The sequence below is a fragment of the Homo sapiens genome, chromosome 4, assembly GCF_000001405.40.
Source record: "Homo sapiens chromosome 4, GRCh38.p14 Primary Assembly".
In the NCBI taxonomy this organism is placed as follows: Eukaryota; Metazoa; Chordata; class Mammalia; order Primates; family Hominidae; genus Homo; species Homo sapiens.
The window spans coordinates 139,531,737-139,550,554 of NC_000004.12; the positions used below are offsets into that span (position 1 = coordinate 139,531,737).

The window sequence follows — 18,818 nt, forward strand, 5'->3', positions numbered from 1 at the left end:
ATATATGTAACTGATCATTTCTTTTTATTAGCACTTTTTAATCATAAGGTTTCAGAGTAAAAATATATTTTCAGCTTGGTGTGGTGGCTCGCACCTGTAATCCCAGCACTTTGGGAGGCCGAGGCAAGGAAATCATCTGAGGTCGGGAGTTTGAGACCAGTGCCTGGTCAACATGGTGAAACCCCATTTTACTAAAAATACAAAAAAATTAGCCGGGCGTAGTGGCCTGTGCCTGCAATCCCAGCTACTTGGGAGGCTGAGGCAGAAGAATCACTTGAACCCACGAGGCAGAGGTTGCAGTAAGCCGACATGGCACCACTGCACCTCATCCTGGGCAACAGAGCAAGACTCTGTCTCAAAACAAAAAAAGAGTATTTTGACTTAAGTTATGAACAAAATAAAGTATTAAGCAAAATATTTTCTAGCCAGGTGCAATGGCTCATGCCTGTAATTTCAGCATTTCAGGAGGCCAAGGCAGGTGGATTGCTTGAGCCCAGGAGTTCGAGACTAGGTTTTAGAGAAACCCTGTCTCAAAAAAGAAAACACAAAAATATTAGCCAGATGTGATGACATAGGCCTGTAATCCCAGCTACTAAGGAGGCTGAGGTGGGAAGATGGCTTGAGTCTGGGAGATGGAGGTTGTAGTGAGCCAAGATCGTGCCACTGCACTCCAGCCTGGGCAACAGAACAAGACCCTGTCTCAATAAATAAAAAATAAAATAAAATAAAGATAAAGTGTTTTCTAAGGTGTATTTTCTGTAACATTTTCTGGAAATTCAGTAACAACAGATGGGACATTTGAAATGCAAACAAAAATTAGAGCATTAATTTCCAACCATGGGTTCTGCCATATCTTTTTACTTTAATAGACTCCAGAAATATCATAAAATGCTATCAAATACTCAAAGGTAAGTTAATTTTAATCACCTTAATTTAAACAATATAAACCATAAAATACCTTAAAAAGCAGTTAGTGGAATTGTAGAATCAAGTAACAACAGTGCAGTAAGCTCTCCCAAATTAAAAATTGCTGGACTGGTTTTTACATATGAGAAACAGGAAATAAAACTAATAGCAACAATGAAAATTTCCACTATCTCCCTCTATGTGCCAAAAGAATTAAAAGCAATATATTTTGCCTTTATTAGTGATACAATAAAACCAATTTGTCTCAATTTGTTTTAATCATGATTAATTACTCCTTTCCAAAACAACGCTGAAAAATAATTAATAACGGATTCAAGGGCCAACAATCTAAGCCAATAGTGAGTAACAGTGAGAGGGCATGCCTCATAAACTCTTGGTGTCAGCTGTGGTGACTCTCAGGTTTCACAGCTCCCAAGTTCTAACACAGAATACATTTTACTCTTCATTGTGAAGAGTCACAGTATGTTACTTTCCAGCAGAGTGAACAGTCACACGGCTTACTGGGTAATATATCCAGCACACTCCATGACGAATGTTATCTTTATACTGCCCCTTGAAGATCAGTCTCCCATCTGTGTCATATTCCTGGGCTGGACCGTTCAGCTCTCCGTCTACATACGTGCCCTGGAGAACTCCCCCATCTTCGTAAGTGTAAACTCCCTGGCCCTGCAAGGCATCATCCACATAATACCCCTCCAGGGTGCTGTGAGGAAAGGAAAAACAAAAAGGAATAGTCAGACCATGACTTGACTCTCTTAGAAGAAAGGATCATATCCAAGGAACTGCATGCCCAGCTGTGTCAGCCCTGACATGGATTCAGCGCAGCCTCCTAAATTATCATCGACTGCTAGGAAAAGGTGCTTCATGGACGTGGGTAAGACTGAGAAGAAAGACGGAGATTTAATACCCAATCTCATGGTTCCTGGGAATCCTTTTACTCTGCTGGAGAAAATAGAGAAGAAAAAAGCTACTGATGGAAACTGAGAACAAGTTCACTTGAGTATGTTTTCAGGCAATAGAAATTCTGGTGTTACCTGTTCCACAAGCAAACCATTCATGTCTAATTTCCCTCAAGAGTGCTCCAGAATTCACTGGTAGTTCTCAAGGGTCTTTCAGATGGCTTGTATATAGTAATCTCTAATGATAGAAATGTGGCTTAAAGTGTGTGAATGTCTACACATTTGTTTCAAGTCACTAATGTATTATTTATCATTAATAGCCGTAATTGGTATCCAGTCAAATGAAATCCCTTCCATCTCCTTGGAAGACATATGGGGATTTATTTAAGTATATCTATATATCTATGTATGTATGTATGTATGTATGTATATCTATGTATATACATACATCCATGATCATGGCCAGTAGGGGCAAGTAAGGAAGACTGAATGCTCCACCCTGCTGATATCATTAGCATCCTGATAGTTTGAGACCCACGGTCCTATACCAGAAGAAAGCTCACAGGGATGCTCACGTGATTTTACCAGCACTTCTCCATCTCTCTCCTTGTAATATATATTTGCAAGTTCAGGAACATGTTTTCATTGTTATCCTCTGAAAGGCCCTATGCAATGAAACACCCAAAATTCCCTTTAAGTACTAAAATTTGGAATAGGGAAAGACCAACTCAAATTATTTTTAAAATTTAAAATGTAAGAAAATTTTGAAACAAAGACAGCTTGATTATTTTAACATAGGCAGAGAGTATTTATTCATTAATTCAACTAGTAATTTTTTTTTTCGAGAGAGGATCTTGCTCTATTGCCCAGGCTGGAGTGCAGTGGCATGATCATGGCTCACTGCAGCCTCGACCTCCTGGGGCTCAAGCCATCCTCCCACCTCAGCCTCCCAAGTAGCTGGGACCACAGGTATGTGTCACCACACCGGGTTAATTTTTGTTTTTTTTTGTAGAGATGAGGTTTTGTCATGTTACGTATGCTGGTCTCGAACTCCTGGGCTCAAGGGATCCACCCAACTCGGCCTCCCAGCCACAACTAGTCAACATTTACAGTGTGCCTTCTCAGTAGCAAGCATTGTGTGAGGCTCTAGAGCGGATAAGGAACAAAACAAACACAATGGTATAGGAGAGACTGGCAAGACACACTGTGAACTGGAGCAGATGGGACGCAAAGCGGGCCATCAGGACTTAGGTGGCTGCACCTGACTCTGTCTGGTAAAGTCTTGACTTATTTCAATGAACAACTGTGAATGATCTATAATTATTAAATGAAAAGCAGATTCTAAATAATGATAGCTTCTGGTTAAAAGGTAATTATACTATTTGTAGTATCCCAAGGAGATAAATAGTTTTCTTTCAGTTTTATTTGTACTATCAATGACAAATAGGCTTCCTAAATTCATGAAGAGAATAAAGTGCACTTTAGCATAGCTCTTGCATAAATAATCAAAATTCTAAAACAGTGAGGTTGGAAGTAATGAGATTCAACTGTCATTAGACTCCCACAATTAAAAAAAAAATCATTGGTGAAGGGTACTAATCAAGTGACATAATGATGTAATTTATGTAGTGCAAGAAACTATTCATTTATCTTCATTTTTAGGATTGCCAGGTATAATACAGGATTCCCAGCTAAGTTTGAATTTCAGATAAACAACAAATAATTTTTTAGTTTATGAATGTCCCAAATAGTGAATGGGATATAATTATACTTACTTTTTTTGTTGAGCAAATTCCAATTTAACTGGGTGTCCTGGATTTAACTAGATTTTTATTTGCTCATCCTGGCAACCCTATTGACTTTGGACTCTCAGCAGCATTCAAAATGTTCCTGTGTGAGTTTGGGTAGAATATTACTCCCTGACAGACTAGTCTGCCAATATTTCTCAGGGTTATGATCAAATCTACAAGAAACAGGTCTTGCAAATCAGACAAAAAATAATATGGACTTGCAGACATTTCCCCCAACTGTATTCAGTGGCTTGTCCTAACCTCCCTTACCCATGGAGCCCATCATCCCATCTATCAGAGTACGAAGAACAAACTGCTATTTCCCTCTTAGCCCAACTGACTCAAAGTACACAAATGCAAACTCTTAAGGCATTGGAAAGCAAATCTTACTGCGTTATTTTTTCAGCCATCTGCTTGAGGCCACAGCTTAGCTTTCTTGGCAACTTTTAATAGTAAGTTAGATGAAATCTGATGACAAAAGAGGGCATATTACACACATAAACTGGGTTCTCCAGGGTGATAAAAGTGATTTTTTAAAATCCTCTGTCATTGAGGAAATAAAATATACGTTTCTTAGACTGGCATTCAAGGCACTACCTTTCTCTCTAACTGTTCTTTCCAGAGGAGGCTGGCAAACTATGGCCTGCTGACTGCTTTTGTAAATAAAGTTTTACTGGAACAAAGCCATGCATGTTCCTTTCTACATCATCTATGGCTGCTTTCATACTACAACAGCAGTGTTGAATTGCTGCAGCAGAGACCGTATGTGGCCCACGGAGCCTCGATTTTACTCTCACCACATACAGAAAAAGTTTGCTAATCCCTGCTCTAAAAAGCTCTGCTCATATCGAAAGTTTACTCACTGACCTTTATTTAGCTTAGCTTCCACACTATATTTTTCCTTGCTTTCCATAATACATATGGGAGCAAACTTTTAAAATCCTTAAGGCCAGCCGGGGGAAAAAAAGTTATGATTTTTTTTCTTTTCTTTTTTCTTCATTGAAAACAAAAATAATCATGGACTAATAATGAATACTCTGAAATCTCTGGCATTTTTCTATCAAAAAAGAAAGAAGCCAATGGGTGCAGTGGCTCATGACTGTAATCCCAGCACTTTGGGAGGCCAAGGTAGGTGGATCGCTTGAGGCCAGGAGTTTAAGACTACCCTGGCCAACATGGTGAAACCCCAGCTCTACTAAAAATACAAAAATTAGCCAGGGGTGGTAGCACATGCTTGTAATCACAGCTACTCAGGAGGGTGAGGTGCAAGAATCACTTGAACCCAGGAGGCAGAGGTTGCAGTGAGCTGAAATTGTGCCACTGCACTCCAGCCTGGGTGACAGCGAGACTCTGTCTTAAAAAAAAAATAGACTGGGCATGGTGGCTCATGCCTGTAATCCCAGCCCTTTGGAGGCCGAGGCAGGAGGATCACCTGAGGTCAGGAATTTGAAACTAGCCTGGCCAACATGGTGAAACCCTGTCTCCACTAAAAATACAAAAATTAGCCGGACATGGTGGCAGGCACCTGTAACCACAGCTACTCGAAAGGCTGAGGCACGAGAATTGCTTGAGCCCAAGAGGCAGAGGTTGCAGCGAGCCGAGATCGCACCACTGCAATCTTTTTTATTTTTTATTTTTTTGAGATGGAGTTTCACTCTTGTTGCCCAGGCTGGAGTGCAACGGCACAATCTTGGCTCACTGCAACCTCTGCCTCCTAGGTTCAAGTGATTCTCCTGCCTCAGCCTCCCAAATAGCCGGGATTACAGGCACGCGCCAACACGCCCAGCTAATTTTGTATTTTTAGTAGAGACGGGGTTTCTTCATGTTGGTCAGGCTGTTCTCGAACTCCTGACCTCAAGTGATCTGCCCACCTCGGCCTCCCAAAGTGCTGGGATTACAGGTGTGAGCCACCGCGCCTGGCTGCACCACTGCCCTCTAACCTGGGCAACAGAGCGAGACTTGTATCCATTAAAATGTTAATATCGGGTCATATTTGAAAAGTGGGTACATAGAAATAGCCTTCTAATGTTTCTTGGTGAAATTGGATTGAGAGCTGGGTTTCAGAGCAAGTCTGCTGGTCACTGTGTTAAACAGAGCCTACTCATCATCCGCGGGGAACCTTGTTTTCCTACAAAGTAAATCTATCCTGATCTTGGCAGCCCTGCCATGCACATTATTCATCAGAGCCTAGGCATGTACTATTACAGAACACTCCATGTCTTTATCGATGTTAAATTTACGTGTCCTATTTCTCTAACTAGATTGTAAGCCCTTTATGGGAACAAATTAGGAAATATGCATCCACGTATCCCCCCAACATATAAACTTCATGTTGATAATTCCTAAGCAAAAGAATAGAAATGGAAACTGGGATCATTTTGCATTGAGAAGAGAAGATTGAGAAGGAACATAACAGTGTTATTCAAGTGCAGGGAGCATTCTTATATGAATTCGATATGCATACAGGCTGTACGTGAGGAAAGTTTCTTAAACTTCCTATGCTTCATTTCTTCATTTGTAAACTGGACTACTCAGAGTGTTGTTATAACGGTTAAATGGGTTAATATATATCAAATGCTTAGAATATGGTCTGGCACATAGTGATTGCTTAAATAAAGAGCAGCTATTATTATTAAACATGCATATTCATGTGTATGATGGCAAGCTTTCTACTAAAAAACTGGGTTTAAAAAGCATCATCAAAAAAAAGCATCATCAAAGAAACAGTTATGAAACACTGAAATAAAGAAATTTATAAAACTGCATTAAATCTATTTTTAAAGAACAAGCAAGAAAAATTCCTATCTGCAGTAATTTATGAGTGATCCAATTGACTGGAAGAAAATAAATACCTCTAAAAAAAAGCAATATGTGTTCATTGTAAAACAAACACATAAAAAGCAATTCAAGCAATACTAAGATGCAGAAAGTAGAAATTCTCAGTCCTCTTCCCCAATTTCACATACAGTATTTAAGACTTTTTCATTTCTTTTTTTTAAGATGAAGTCTTGCTGTCGCCTAGGCTGGAATACAGTGGTGCAATCTCGGCTTGCTGCAACCTCCACCTCCTGGGTTCAAGCGATTCTCCTGCCTCAGCCTCCTGAGTAGCTGGGATTACAGGTGTGTGCCACCAAACCTGGTTAATGTTTGTATTTTTAGTAGAGATGCCTTTCACCATGTTGGCTAAGCTGGTCTCGAACTCCTGACCTCAAGTGATCCACCCGCCTCAGCCTGTGCTAGGATTACAGGTGTGAGCCACCGCTCCTGGCCACTCTTTTCATTTCTATACCACGCATTTTCCTACCTTCTGTTTTTGTTATTTTAATAAAAATGGGATCATACTATACATAATGTTCTTAACATGCTTAACTTGTATTTTCTTAAAGTTCCTTTCAACATCTTGGCAAATTCTTTAGTATGTTAAGAAATTACAAAAATGGTCTTGCAATTGTTTGATTTTCCTGGTACCATCATCTGAATCAAACTGGAAAATGTTGAGGAAATTAAAACATAAATTTTAATTAAATTTCTTTTTCTGCACATAGATCAATTTTTCCTGTTTTATCCAACCTCTTGTACTTAAGAGTTAAATTTCGAGAAATCAGTTAAGAAATCTAACTTACAAAGAAATGGATAAATTTTATAGTTGTTTTCCTAGACTTACATATCTGCATTTTATTCAGATATTGCTGTATTTTCATTAAAAATTCCTGTTAGTGTTTGAATATAGAAAACTGTTCTTAGAGACTTAACAGTTTTGGCTTTTCTTCATGGTTCTGGGGTCTAGGTTTTGGACCTTCCGCCTCCTGGGGCCTAAATTCTGTTCCCTTCCTTCCACTGTGTTCCCTTCCTTTTGTCAGCCATAGCAATACAATAACCGAGAGGAAATTTTAAAAATGAATAATCACTCCTTAAACTCCCATCTCTAACCAAATTGAATTGTGACCCTTAGTATATACATTATTTTAGGAATTATTTTATATGACAATATATATTATCTTTTGAAACACTGCAAACTAAGCAAAGAGCAGCAACAAGGAGATGCAACCCATCTGCTAGAACTATTTCCAGCCAGAAACTTCAACTTCTCCCAAGGTGTTGGAGCAAGTTTGATGGAGAACTCTAATGCTTCCATATAATATAACATACTGTCTATCTTTGAAGGTTTTCTTTTTCTATCCTTTAAGAAAAGATCTATGAGTCTACTATAGATCTAATTATTACAAAGCCTCAAAGTAACAGTAAAATATTTGAAGAGTGAATAATGAAATTTAGTTTTGCTTTCTAAAAACAAACCTCAAGAAAACTTTCTGCTACGGACTAAATGTTTGTGTCTCCCCAAATTCCTGTGTTGAACTCCTAACACCCAATATGATGGTATTAAGAGGTGGGGCCTTTGGGAGGTAATTTGGTCCCAAGGGCAGAGCCCTCTTGAATGGGATTAATGCCCTTATAAAAAGATATTAGAAAGCTTGTTTTCTCTCCCTTTACTTTCCACCATGTGAGGATATCAGGAGAAGATGGACATCTACAAACCAGGAAGTGGGCCCTCGACAGACACAAAGTGTACTGCTGCCCTGATCTTGGACTTCACACCCTCCAGAACTGTGAGAAATAAATTTCAGTTGTCTAAGCCACCCAGTCTATGGAATTTGTTGTAGCAGCCCAAACTAAGACACTCTCCTAATAATTATTAATAATAATAGTAACAACAACAATGATAAAATAATCCATCTTTTCCCCTAAGCACCTTCTGAGTGTCCTACACTTTAAGGGTCTTTACAGGTTTTCTCATTCAATCACAGCAATCCTGAAAAGCAGGTATAATTATCTCCGTTTTACAAATTAAGTAAATGGAAGTTCAGGGAGGCCAAATAGCTAGAACAGAATTCTTCTGAATTGATTCCTCAGGAAAACCTTCTGTCAATCTTCCAAGCTCTTCCCAAGTTGTTAAGGCCCCTACAAGAACATAACTGAATTCACTCCAGAACTCCTTTTAACATTTCACAACTATGGCTGATGAGTAACTTCAAGGAAAATTAAAGAATGGAAGAAAGGCAGTCAGGCCCACAGCTATTTCCCTGTTTCAAGTTGGAAGATGGTAGCAGATGTAGTGAAAAAGAGGGTTGGTTCTAGAATTGAATTCGCCTTGGTGTGAGTCTCAGCTCCAATCATTTTTAACTAGGTCACCTGGGGCAAGTTATTTAGCCACTCTGTGCCTTAGTTTCTTCGTATGTCAAATGGGATTATAAAACCCACCTCCCAGATTGTTATGAAGACCACGTGTCCAGTGTTGAAGAAATGGTAGTTATTCAATGTTACCCATTTCATTTGCACTCTCTTCTTGCATGTCACAAAAATTTTTGGCCTCAATCAGAACTGTTTGTTGGAATACAGATGAATATATTTGCTGGGTCTGGTTCCAACAAAAGCTAGAGGACTGTCAGGAACACAAAAGAAACTTTTGCCGCATGTGGGAGGTTGGAATGCATGACTTCAGAAATCCGATCCAACTCCAATTTCTCTGAATTGTGATCAAGCACTTTCTGAAAACTAAACACAAGAAATCCTGCATAGACTTGACACCTGGAGAATGCCATCCTTTCTCAGTGGCTCATCAGACGGGTGACCTTGCTCAGGTTATTTGGCCAGTGATAAATTACACGGAGCCCTTTTGGCAAATGTAGCCAAGCAACATCAGAAAAGGACTTGGGCACAGGAGAAAGAAGCCGTGGAGTAGTAAATCCTTTAAAATCAAATTGGCATGTGAAGGAGAGGCATCAACAATATAAACAAATAAAGCTGAATGAATGACCTCATCTCCACCTCATAATTAGGCTAAAAACCACATGACCCTAATATTCCATAGCCCCCGCAAAGCCAATCTGAAGAAATATCTCCTTCTTGTTCACCATTCTAGGATTGTGAAAAGTCTTGCCTTTAGGTTCATAAATCATGGTCAAAATAGAACAATTAAAGAAAGATACATGAAAATAAACATCCAGAATCTAGGATTAGTATAAAAATTAGAGATGTGTGTATCAAAGTATTTTGAACACTACACGTTTTCATCACACCCCATGGTACTCCAGCAAATCCACGGGTACCAGACAGACTCCAGATCCACACCAACAAAGCCTCAAGATTCCTGTCACCACGCTGCATCAATTCCTTTATCTCGGGACCGAGTGGATGTAAAGAAGTCCCAGTTACTGAATCTCAGGATAATTTCTTCTTCCCTTTTAATAGAGGAGGCGGGAATGGACACAATATCTACTTTAAAAACAATTTTTAAAATAAGGTTATGTTCTCATTCATTCCTTATTTGTAGGGCAAACCATCTGGTAAAGCATGAGTATTCTGATTTTAGGTTTCTGACTTAATAAGCTGGTTGTAGTAACTTAGCTTTTCTCTTCCACATTTTGTCATATAATGAAGAAAAGACTAAATATTATGATCTCAAAACTAGCAAACATTTTGAATCTGAGACAGTTGTGAACAGGTAAACAATGTACATTTTTGCTATTTAAACTGATTTAGAAATAGATAGCTATTTCTTCCATATGCTGAAGAGGTATGTGCACTCCCATGTTTATTGCACTATTCACAACAGCCAAGATATGAAATCAACCCAAGTTTCCATTAACAGATGAATGAATAAAGAAAATGTGGTATATACGTACACAATGGTATACTATTCAGCATAAAAACAAAACGAAATCCTGTCATTTGTGACAATATGAATGATCCTAGAGGACATCATGTAAAGTGAAATAAGCCAAGCACAAAAGGACAAATACCGCATGATCTCATTTGTATGTGGGGAATCTGAAAAAGCTGATCTTACAGAAGTAGAGAACAGAACAGTGGTTAACAGAGGCTGGGGAGTAGAAGGCAGGAGGGAAGGATGGGGAGAGGTTGGTCAACAGGTACAAAGTTACAGTTAGATAGCAAGAATAAGTTCTGGTGTTCTATTACATAACAGGGTGACTACAGTCAACAGTAATATATTGTATACTTCAAAATAGCTAGAAGAAGGGATTTTGAATGTTCTCACCAGAAAGAAATGATGAATCTTTGAGGTGATGGATATGCTAATTACCCTGATTGATCATTACACAATGTGTTTATGTATCAAAATCACACTTTACCCCAGAAAAATGTAGAATTATGTGTCAATTAAAATAAAACTTTAAAAATGCCTATTTCTATATTTTACCTTGAATATGTTTAGTTAAGATGTGCAAATTCTCTGCCAATAGTAATTACTTCTATGGCATGGGTTGGGGTTAAAAAAAAGCGGGGGGGAGCACTTTCACATTTCTGAATTTCTTGAAGTTTTGTTTTATTCCACTAAGCATTTGTTATGTTTGCAATTTAAAAATAAAATAAAATATTCTGCTTCTATTTACAAATTTGGTTTTAAAATTTCACAGGGCTATTTTTCCTAGTTATCTGGATATTTGAAATTCTTATTCAGATTTATCTCATTCGATGTCAAGGGAAACACTGATTCTATAATTTTCTTGATATGTTTATATTTGTTTGGATACTTCTCATAAATCATATTCTGGGGTTCAGTTTTCATATAAAATTAGAATATTTAGGCCAAGTCTTCCATTACTACACTGTGATTTTCCTTGTCTCTTTCCTTGTCGGAACATGGGTTCCCACAATTTCAGACAAACTCTTTGATGGGGACACAAATCAGCATAACAGGTTTCAACAACTTTCTTCAATACAAAGTTTTTGTCTCCTCGCTTGTTATTCAAAACCTAATGCCAGCCTTTCTTAAGGAATTTTTCCAGACCAAAGGTTGATGACTGACAATAAAGGCAAAGCATTCCCACTTAATTTTACCCAACACATCAAGCTCTAAAAGCCGGGGATGGGAACAGGGAGAAAAAGTAATAGACAAATATAAATAAAAACTGCTTCATGTAGAAACAACTGACTTATCCATAATCAAATCCCACATCTGCCTTAGAAAACCCTGGTAGATTCTCGACCTTTTATTCAGTTGTAAGACTCTCTTACTAATTTTTACAGCAAATCCTTTTAGCAGATGTCTCGTAACATGATCAGTATTTGGGTTTAAGAAGATGAGGACGACCTTTTGAGATCCTGTCACCACACTGTTCCATCATGTGTAATAAAACCAATGATACTGACATTTTCCCCTTAAGATATTAACTCCCGTCTATCTGAAGATAACCAAGATAATCTCTTGAGGTCCTCGCTAACACTATTTTTCCTTGATTCTATTTAATCAACATCTCCACTGGTGTTTGAGTGGTAGATATAAAAATTAGTGAATTGGGTGGGCGTAGTGGCTCACACCCGTAATCCCAGCACTTTGGAAGGCCAAGGCGGGCGGATCACGAGGTCAGGAGATCAAGACCATCCTGGCTAACAAGGTGAAACCCCGTCTCTACTAAAAAAATACAAAAAAAAAAAAAAAATTAGCCGGGCGTGGTGGTGGGCGCCTGTAGTCCCAGCTACTCAGGAGGCTGAGGCAGGAGAATGGTGTGAACCCAGGAGGCGGAGCTTGCAGTGAGCCGAGATCGCGCCGCTGCACTCCAGCCTGGGAGACAGAGCAAGACTCCATCTCAAACAAACAAACAAACAAACAAACAAAAATTAGTGAATTGGTTAGGCTGGGCACAATGGCTCACGCCTGTAACCCCAGCACTTGAGAGGCTGAGGCGGGTGGATCACTTGAGCTCAGGAGTTTGAGACCAGCCTGGGCAACATGGCAAAACTCCATCTCTATAAAAAATACAAAACAAATTAGCCTGGTGTGGTGGCATGCACCTGTAGTCACAGCTACTCAGGAAGCTGAGGTGGGAGGATCACCCGAGTCCAGGGAGGTTGAAGCTGCAGTGAGCTGTGATCATGGCACTGCACTCCAGCCTGGGCAACGGAGTGAGAACCCATCTAAAATAAAATAAAATAAAATAAAATAAAATAAAATAAAATAAAAAGAATGGTGAATTCGTGCCTCAAAAGGAAAAAAAAAATCAATGAATGTATTTCTAGCCTATAGATAGTTACTGGGCTAGTGCTGCCACTTGGCCTGGTGCTTCAGCTTGTTCATATCGTGACACACCTGCAAATTAATGCATTTGTCTGACACACTGGGGTAAGCGGATGAAGCTGTTTGGGGCTAGAAGTTACTAGCTGGATATGAGAAGACAGGTGCCCAGGAAGTCTCAGGCCCCACTTTGCTATCTTACCCTAGGGCTGAGGGGATCAGCATCTTGAAGCTAACAAGTAGCTCATTCTCGGCACACTGGTTCAGAATTTTAGTCTAGCCCATCAGTACTCTGTGTATCAGCCCCATAAAGCAAGCAGGTAACCAACACCAAATTCAAACAAATCTGCTGGACTGTTTTCCCAGAGTCAATCAGTTACTGGCTATCATCATCAAACTACCAGATTTAAAGTGTGTGTGTGTGTGTGTGTGTGTGTGTGTGTTTGTGTGTGGAGGGGGAGGCGGAGGGGGTGTTCTGGGTGAATTCTACCCTCTCTTTCAGCTCCCACTCTCACTTAGCAAGGACTTCTTTTTAGTATCAAATTAAGAGAAAGTGCTATGAAGCATAAAAGATGTAATAGACACAGATTCTGCCCTCAAGGAAACCTCTGTCCTTGGAGATGAAGGAGACATTTACATAAATATGTACTTGTTGAACGAATAAAAAAATTTGCAGAATAAGGTTAAAAGTGACACTTTTCAGAAAAAAGAGCTATAAAAAAATTGCAGTGGAAATGGGGCAGGAAAAGTTTCCCTCTGGATAGGTTAAAAGAGTCATAGGAAAGAAAAGCAGTGATACCAACTTTTTTTTTTTGAAACAGGGTCTTGCTCTGTCACCCAGGCTGGAGTGCTCAAGCAATCTTCCTGCCTCAGCTCCCCAGCAGCTGGGACCACAGTTCCCAAGGTCTCTACACCTCGTGGCAGAGACAGGGTCTCACTATGTTGCCCTGGTCAGTTCTCAAATTCCCGGGCTCAAACAATCCTCCTGCCTCAGCCTCCCAAAGTGCTGGGATTACAGATGTGAGCCAACATGCCCAGGCCAATACCAACATACTGAAATGGGCCTCTATGGCACTCAAGTATCCACCCAAAAGAAAGGAAGTAAAATATCTGACAATTTAAAATTTACAGTTTGTAAGCAAAACTCTGCTTTACAAAAAGGTGGGGTTGGGGGCAACGGGGAAATGAAGGTTGGAATTATAATTAAAATGAAATTTTACAAAAGTCATTTAGAAGGTTTTTATTGCTGTTCTCACCCCTCATTGCATCAGATCATTGAGAGCCTGAGAAATGTTACCCCCTTTAAAACAACGCACTTTGCCTGCAGAAAAGGGATTCTGGGTCACATACCAGTCCCTGACATCACCCTTCAGTTGTCAGCTTAGACATTTTCTTTCCCAAAGGAAGCTCTGGCCTATTACCAATGTCAGGAGTTTAGTAAGTGGTGCGGTATCCTACAGAATCCTATAACCTGCTTTGGTGAAGTCAGTTTCCATTTTACCCAACCAACGGGTCTGAAAATAGCTAGCCCTTTTGCGGCTCTGAATTCCACTAAATGCTTGAGAAATTCACATGGTCACTCTTTGCTCCTGAAGCTGACAGGGCCTAAAAGTCATTGTTGGGAAGCTGGGCCTGGGCAACCCCATCTCTTCTTGAAAGAAAAACGTCCTATAGTCATTCCTATCTATCACAAGCGAGTAAGGAGCCTCTCCCTCTCAGTGTCCTCAGACAGGGGATGAGAGTAAAATAAAAGAAATCCTGTTGTGAAAAATACTGTAACTAGAGGTACACTGTGGAAAATCATAGTTCTGACATTAGTATTAAATTATCACACAAAAAGACCAACTATCCCAAAGACAGGCATTTAAAAAATTGAAGTCTAGAGAGTTGCCCTCCTGTGTGTACCTGTTTATGTCTTATTACTGGGACTGCAATGATGTGGCTTTGAAGAACTTTGCCAAGCATTTTTTCATCAATCTCATGAGGAGAGGCAACAAGCTGAGAAACCGATGAAGCAGAAGAACCAACAAGGTGGCAGAATCTTGCTTCGGGGTACTAAGATGCCAGATTGTGACATCTGGGAGAGTGTGCTGAACGCAATAGAGTGTGTGTGACCCTTGGAAAAAAGTGTGAATCTGACTTTACTGGAACTGTGCAAACTGGCCACTGACAAAAACGATCCCCACTTGTGTGACTTCAGGGAGATGCGCTACCGGAATGATCAAGTGAAATCCATCAAAGAATTGGGTGACCATGTAACCAACTTATGCAAGATGGGGGCCCCCAAATCTGGTATCTTTTGGCCAAGCACACTCTGGGAGACAGTGATGACAAGAGCTAAGCCTTAGGCTGGCTGTCCCATAACCACAGGGTGACTTCCCCAGTCACCAAAGCAGTGCCTACAGGTAGGGGTTAATTTTACCCATTGAATAAATTGTAGAAAAACTTCCACTTGAATTCTTTCGTTTGTATTAGTCCTTAACATAAAATAATTCGGTACCCCCAAAGAACAAAATAAAACTGTGAGTGCTACCTGCCATCAAAGAAGAAGAACTTCCCCCGTCCGTTCTTTTCTCCGTGAACAAAGTTCCCCTCAAATCTGTCTGTGGAGGAGTAGGTGACTGTGCAGAACCCGTGCGGTAATCCGTCATCGTCCAGGTGCCCTGGAGAAAGGGAACCACAAGGCAAACCTTAACATCTTCAGTGCTCCTCCCATCTGACGTCTAAGCATTCAGATGCTGCCAGACAAGTCCCCCACCCAACTCCCCTCCAGCTGCCAAAGGGTCCCCTCCCTGGAAAGAAAGGGTAGTCAGCGTGCAAAAGTTTCTCACCTCATCGGCACCAGCAGTACCAAATTGATTGTTATGTACACTTTGTGAACTGATAGGTCCAGAACAGACTTAGACACATTCCAGAATATGAACTTTAAATAAGCTTGCTTTTTACCTGGAACTGAGAGTCATTATCAGTAATATTATCTGCAGGGCATGTCACAATTTACCAAGTACTCTCCCGAGAGTCCTCATATTTGGAATTGATGCCTCCAATCTCTCATGCTTAACTGAAGTGTGGTTGAGATTCCACTGTTTTATAGTCAATTGCCACATACACAGTCTTTGGAATAAATTATCTAATTCTAGAACATTAAGTATGCAATATGATTTTATACATCATTCTATAATATGATGTGGAGGACTGCTAGCCAGTCTGAAAATCTCACTGTTATTGTTATATTCACACAAGGAACAGTGTCATATCTTTAAAACTGCCCTAAGATTTATATAGCTCATTGTACAAACACAGAAACCCAGAGTCCTTCTCACCTTAAACTTAAGCTTAACCTTAAACCTACTGGTTTACTTTACAAAATCTTTCAGCTTTGAATGTTTAGTAATAACCTTATCCTATACCGTCCACCACTGTGTCTCAGAGGGCTTGTGTTTTAAATGGAGCCAGAGTATGCACATGGTCATTTAAGCAATGATTGTGAACATCAGCAGAAGTTATTACATGGACTTTTAAGTCACTGGTTATTCCTAGGTCAAAGATTGGTATAGTTTAATACTGACATTTACAGTCAATGTTTATGCTTTTTATTACTATCTACATGTTTTACAAAACCCAGGAATCACCTTATTGGTGTCTTCCCAATCATTCTGGTGAGCTGATTTTGCAGAGGTGGGTGAAAATGAAGGCAGTAGTTATTCTACTGGCTTTTTCTTGGGGTAATAACCTGGGTCATGGAGAGAAAAGGTATGAAAACATTAAACACTGTGTCTAATGCAGGGACATTAAACATTGAAATGTAGCTTCCAGATGGCTCACAGACATAAAAGGCAACACAAACCATACTACCACAGTGAAAGCTTTAGTCTCCTCAAATAATTTATTCTAACATGATAAAAGAATATTAGCCCTTGGAAAAGATGGTAAGTACACACTCTTATAAAGAATAAATATGCGGCCGGGCATGGTGGCTCACGCCTATAATCCCAGCACTTTGGGAGGCTGAGGTGGGTGGATCACCCTAGGTCCAGAGTTTGAGACCAGCCTGGCCAACACAGTGAAACCCCGTCTTTACTAAAAATACAAAAAATTAGCCAGGCATGGTGGCGGACGTCTGTAATCCCAGCTACTCAGGAGGCTGAGGCAGGAGAATCGCTTGAACCCAGGAAGCAGAGGTTGCAGTGAGCCAAAATTGTGCCACTGCACTCCAGCGTGGGCAACAAGAATGAAACTCCATCTCAACAACAACAATAAAAAGAATAAATATGCTCTTTATTTGTATCATTAATTACATAAACATAAAATAGCTGCAAACAACTACAGTGTTTTATTGCTACATCTGACTCTGTATACAATGGGTTACCTAGAACATCTTACAATAAGACACATCTACTTAAATAAATCATAATCAATATGGATCCCTTCCTCTTAACACAAAAGAGGAAAGGCCCAGGAAATTAATGGTCAGAAGGGAACTAGGCCATAATTGCTTTCTTCTCGCTCAAAAACTAATTGTACATGACATAAATTCAATGACATTTGAGTCATATGAAATCACTTGGACAATTATTTTCTAAATATCTGATGCCATTTCTCTCATTGAAATAAATTAAATTTGCTTTTTTCTTTTCATTAAAAAAAGCCACTCAGTGTATTGCTAAGAGCTTTTTTTAGTGAAATGTTGTTGCGATCAAGTTAAATTTAGGCATATAAATTCAGTGTCCTACTTTTGATTTAGGTATTAATATCCAAATAATCAGTTTAGCCTCATACTAGAGCATTTATTAACTTGTTGAAAATGCTTTCACCATAGAAAACAGTTCACATATTTCAGAGTTTTAAAAGCTTATGTTTGATAAAATGTGTTATTCCACTTTAGATTGAGAGAATTACAATAAATCTGAACACTAAGAAAAAAATGTCCAATATAAATTAATTTCCACCTTCCTTCAGCCCTGTGCTATTTCTGAATAAAACACTGAAGGTGCACCCTCAGCAATGGAATTTAGATATTAGGGAAAGTTGAAAGTGTCATATAACATACTGTAAGCCCTTGGAGGATAGTACTGATCCCAGTTGAGATGACAACAAAAATGTCAACTCCACTCCATGAAGAATTATTCCTTCCTTCCTTCCTCCCTTTTTGCCTCCCTCCCTCCTTCTCTCCTTTTCTTCCTTTCTTACCTCACTCCCTCCTTCCCTCTTTCTCTTCCTCCTTCCTTTATTTTTTAGAGACAGGGTCTCACCCTGTTACTCAGGCTGGAGTGCAGTGATGAGACCATAGTTCACTGTAACCTCAACTTGTAGGCTCAAGTGATCCTTCTGCCTCAGCCTCCAATGTAGCTGGGACTATAGGTAGACATCACCACAACTGGCTAATTTAAAAAAAAAAATTTTTTTTTGAGACAGAGTTTTACTCTTTTTGTCCAGACTGGAGTGCAATGGTGCGATCTTGGCTCACTGCAACCTCCGCCTCCCGGGTGCAAGCAATTGTCCTGCCTCAGCCTCCCTAGTAGCTGGGATTACAGGCACCTGCCACCAAGCCCAGCTTATTTTTTTGTATTTTTAGTAGAGATGAGGTTTCACTATATTGGCCAGGCTGGTCTCGAACTTCTGACCTCAGGCAATCTACCCACCTCAGCCTCCAAAACGGCTAATTAAAAATTTTTTTTTATAGAGATAGGGTCTCACTGTGTTGCCCAGGCTGGTCTCAAACTCCTGAGCTCAAGTGGTCCACCCACTTTGGGTGCTGGGATTACAGGCAAGAACCACCACACCTGGCCTCAGTGCCTTTCAACAGGCAAATGAAGAGGAGCCCTATCATCATCTTAATCTCTTGGGAGAGACAAGGTCAGGGGAGAGCTACCAAATGATGGCCATTACTCTGGTGACCTTGCACATTAAGGAGGTGCTTGGACATGTGACCACTCCCTATCATTCTGAAGGCTTTTAGATTGCTGGTTGTGAGAGAATTCTGAAATCTATTCGACGACAGCAGGAGCCTCTTCCTGGCTTGTTTTGTTTTCTTTACATCCCTAGGGTGTGATCAATTAAAGGAACTAGAGATTAAGGGTTGTGATCATTCGAGACTTCCACTCTGAATATTTAATATCCCGGATTAGTTTTCCTAGCAGTAGAACTTTATGTCTAAAACAGCAGCCA

The 18,818-nt window shown here is 39.9% G+C and overlaps 1 protein-coding gene and 1 pseudogene across 5 annotated transcripts in view, besides 1 other annotated feature; one reads left to right on the forward strand and one right to left on the reverse strand.

Annotated features, from left to right (window-relative positions):
* Positions 1-18,818, reverse strand: part of SETD7 (SET domain containing 7, histone lysine methyltransferase) — a 63,246-nt gene that overhangs the window by 38,763 nt on the left and 5,665 nt on the right. For 2 of the 5 annotated variants that reach the window (NM_001306199.2, NM_030648.4), the window contains exons 2-3: positions 15,184-15,313; positions 1,429-1,630 (exon numbers count right to left, since the gene is read on the reverse strand). In NM_001306199.2, coding sequence (NP_001293128.1) covers positions 1,429-1,630; positions 15,184-15,313 — 332 coding nt within the window. Of the gene's footprint in view, positions 1-828; positions 1,631-15,183; positions 15,314-16,282; positions 16,384-18,818 lie in introns of those variants that run through there. The other 3 variants (NR_131339.2, NM_001306200.2, XM_017008661.1) reach the window with 3 other exon arrangements.
* Positions 14,542-15,152, forward strand: FTH1P24 (ferritin heavy chain 1 pseudogene 24; annotated as a pseudogene).
* Positions 16,529-16,715: a silencer, noted in NCBI's record as "fragment chr4:140469419-140469605 (GRCh37/hg19 assembly coordinates)". NCBI's record gives its function as "represses an EF-1alpha promoter that drives an FKBP-Casp9 reporter gene in an ReSE screen in K562 erythroleukemia cells {active_cell/tissue: K562}" and the evidence as "EXISTENCE:reporter gene assay evidence [ECO:0000049][PMID:32094911]".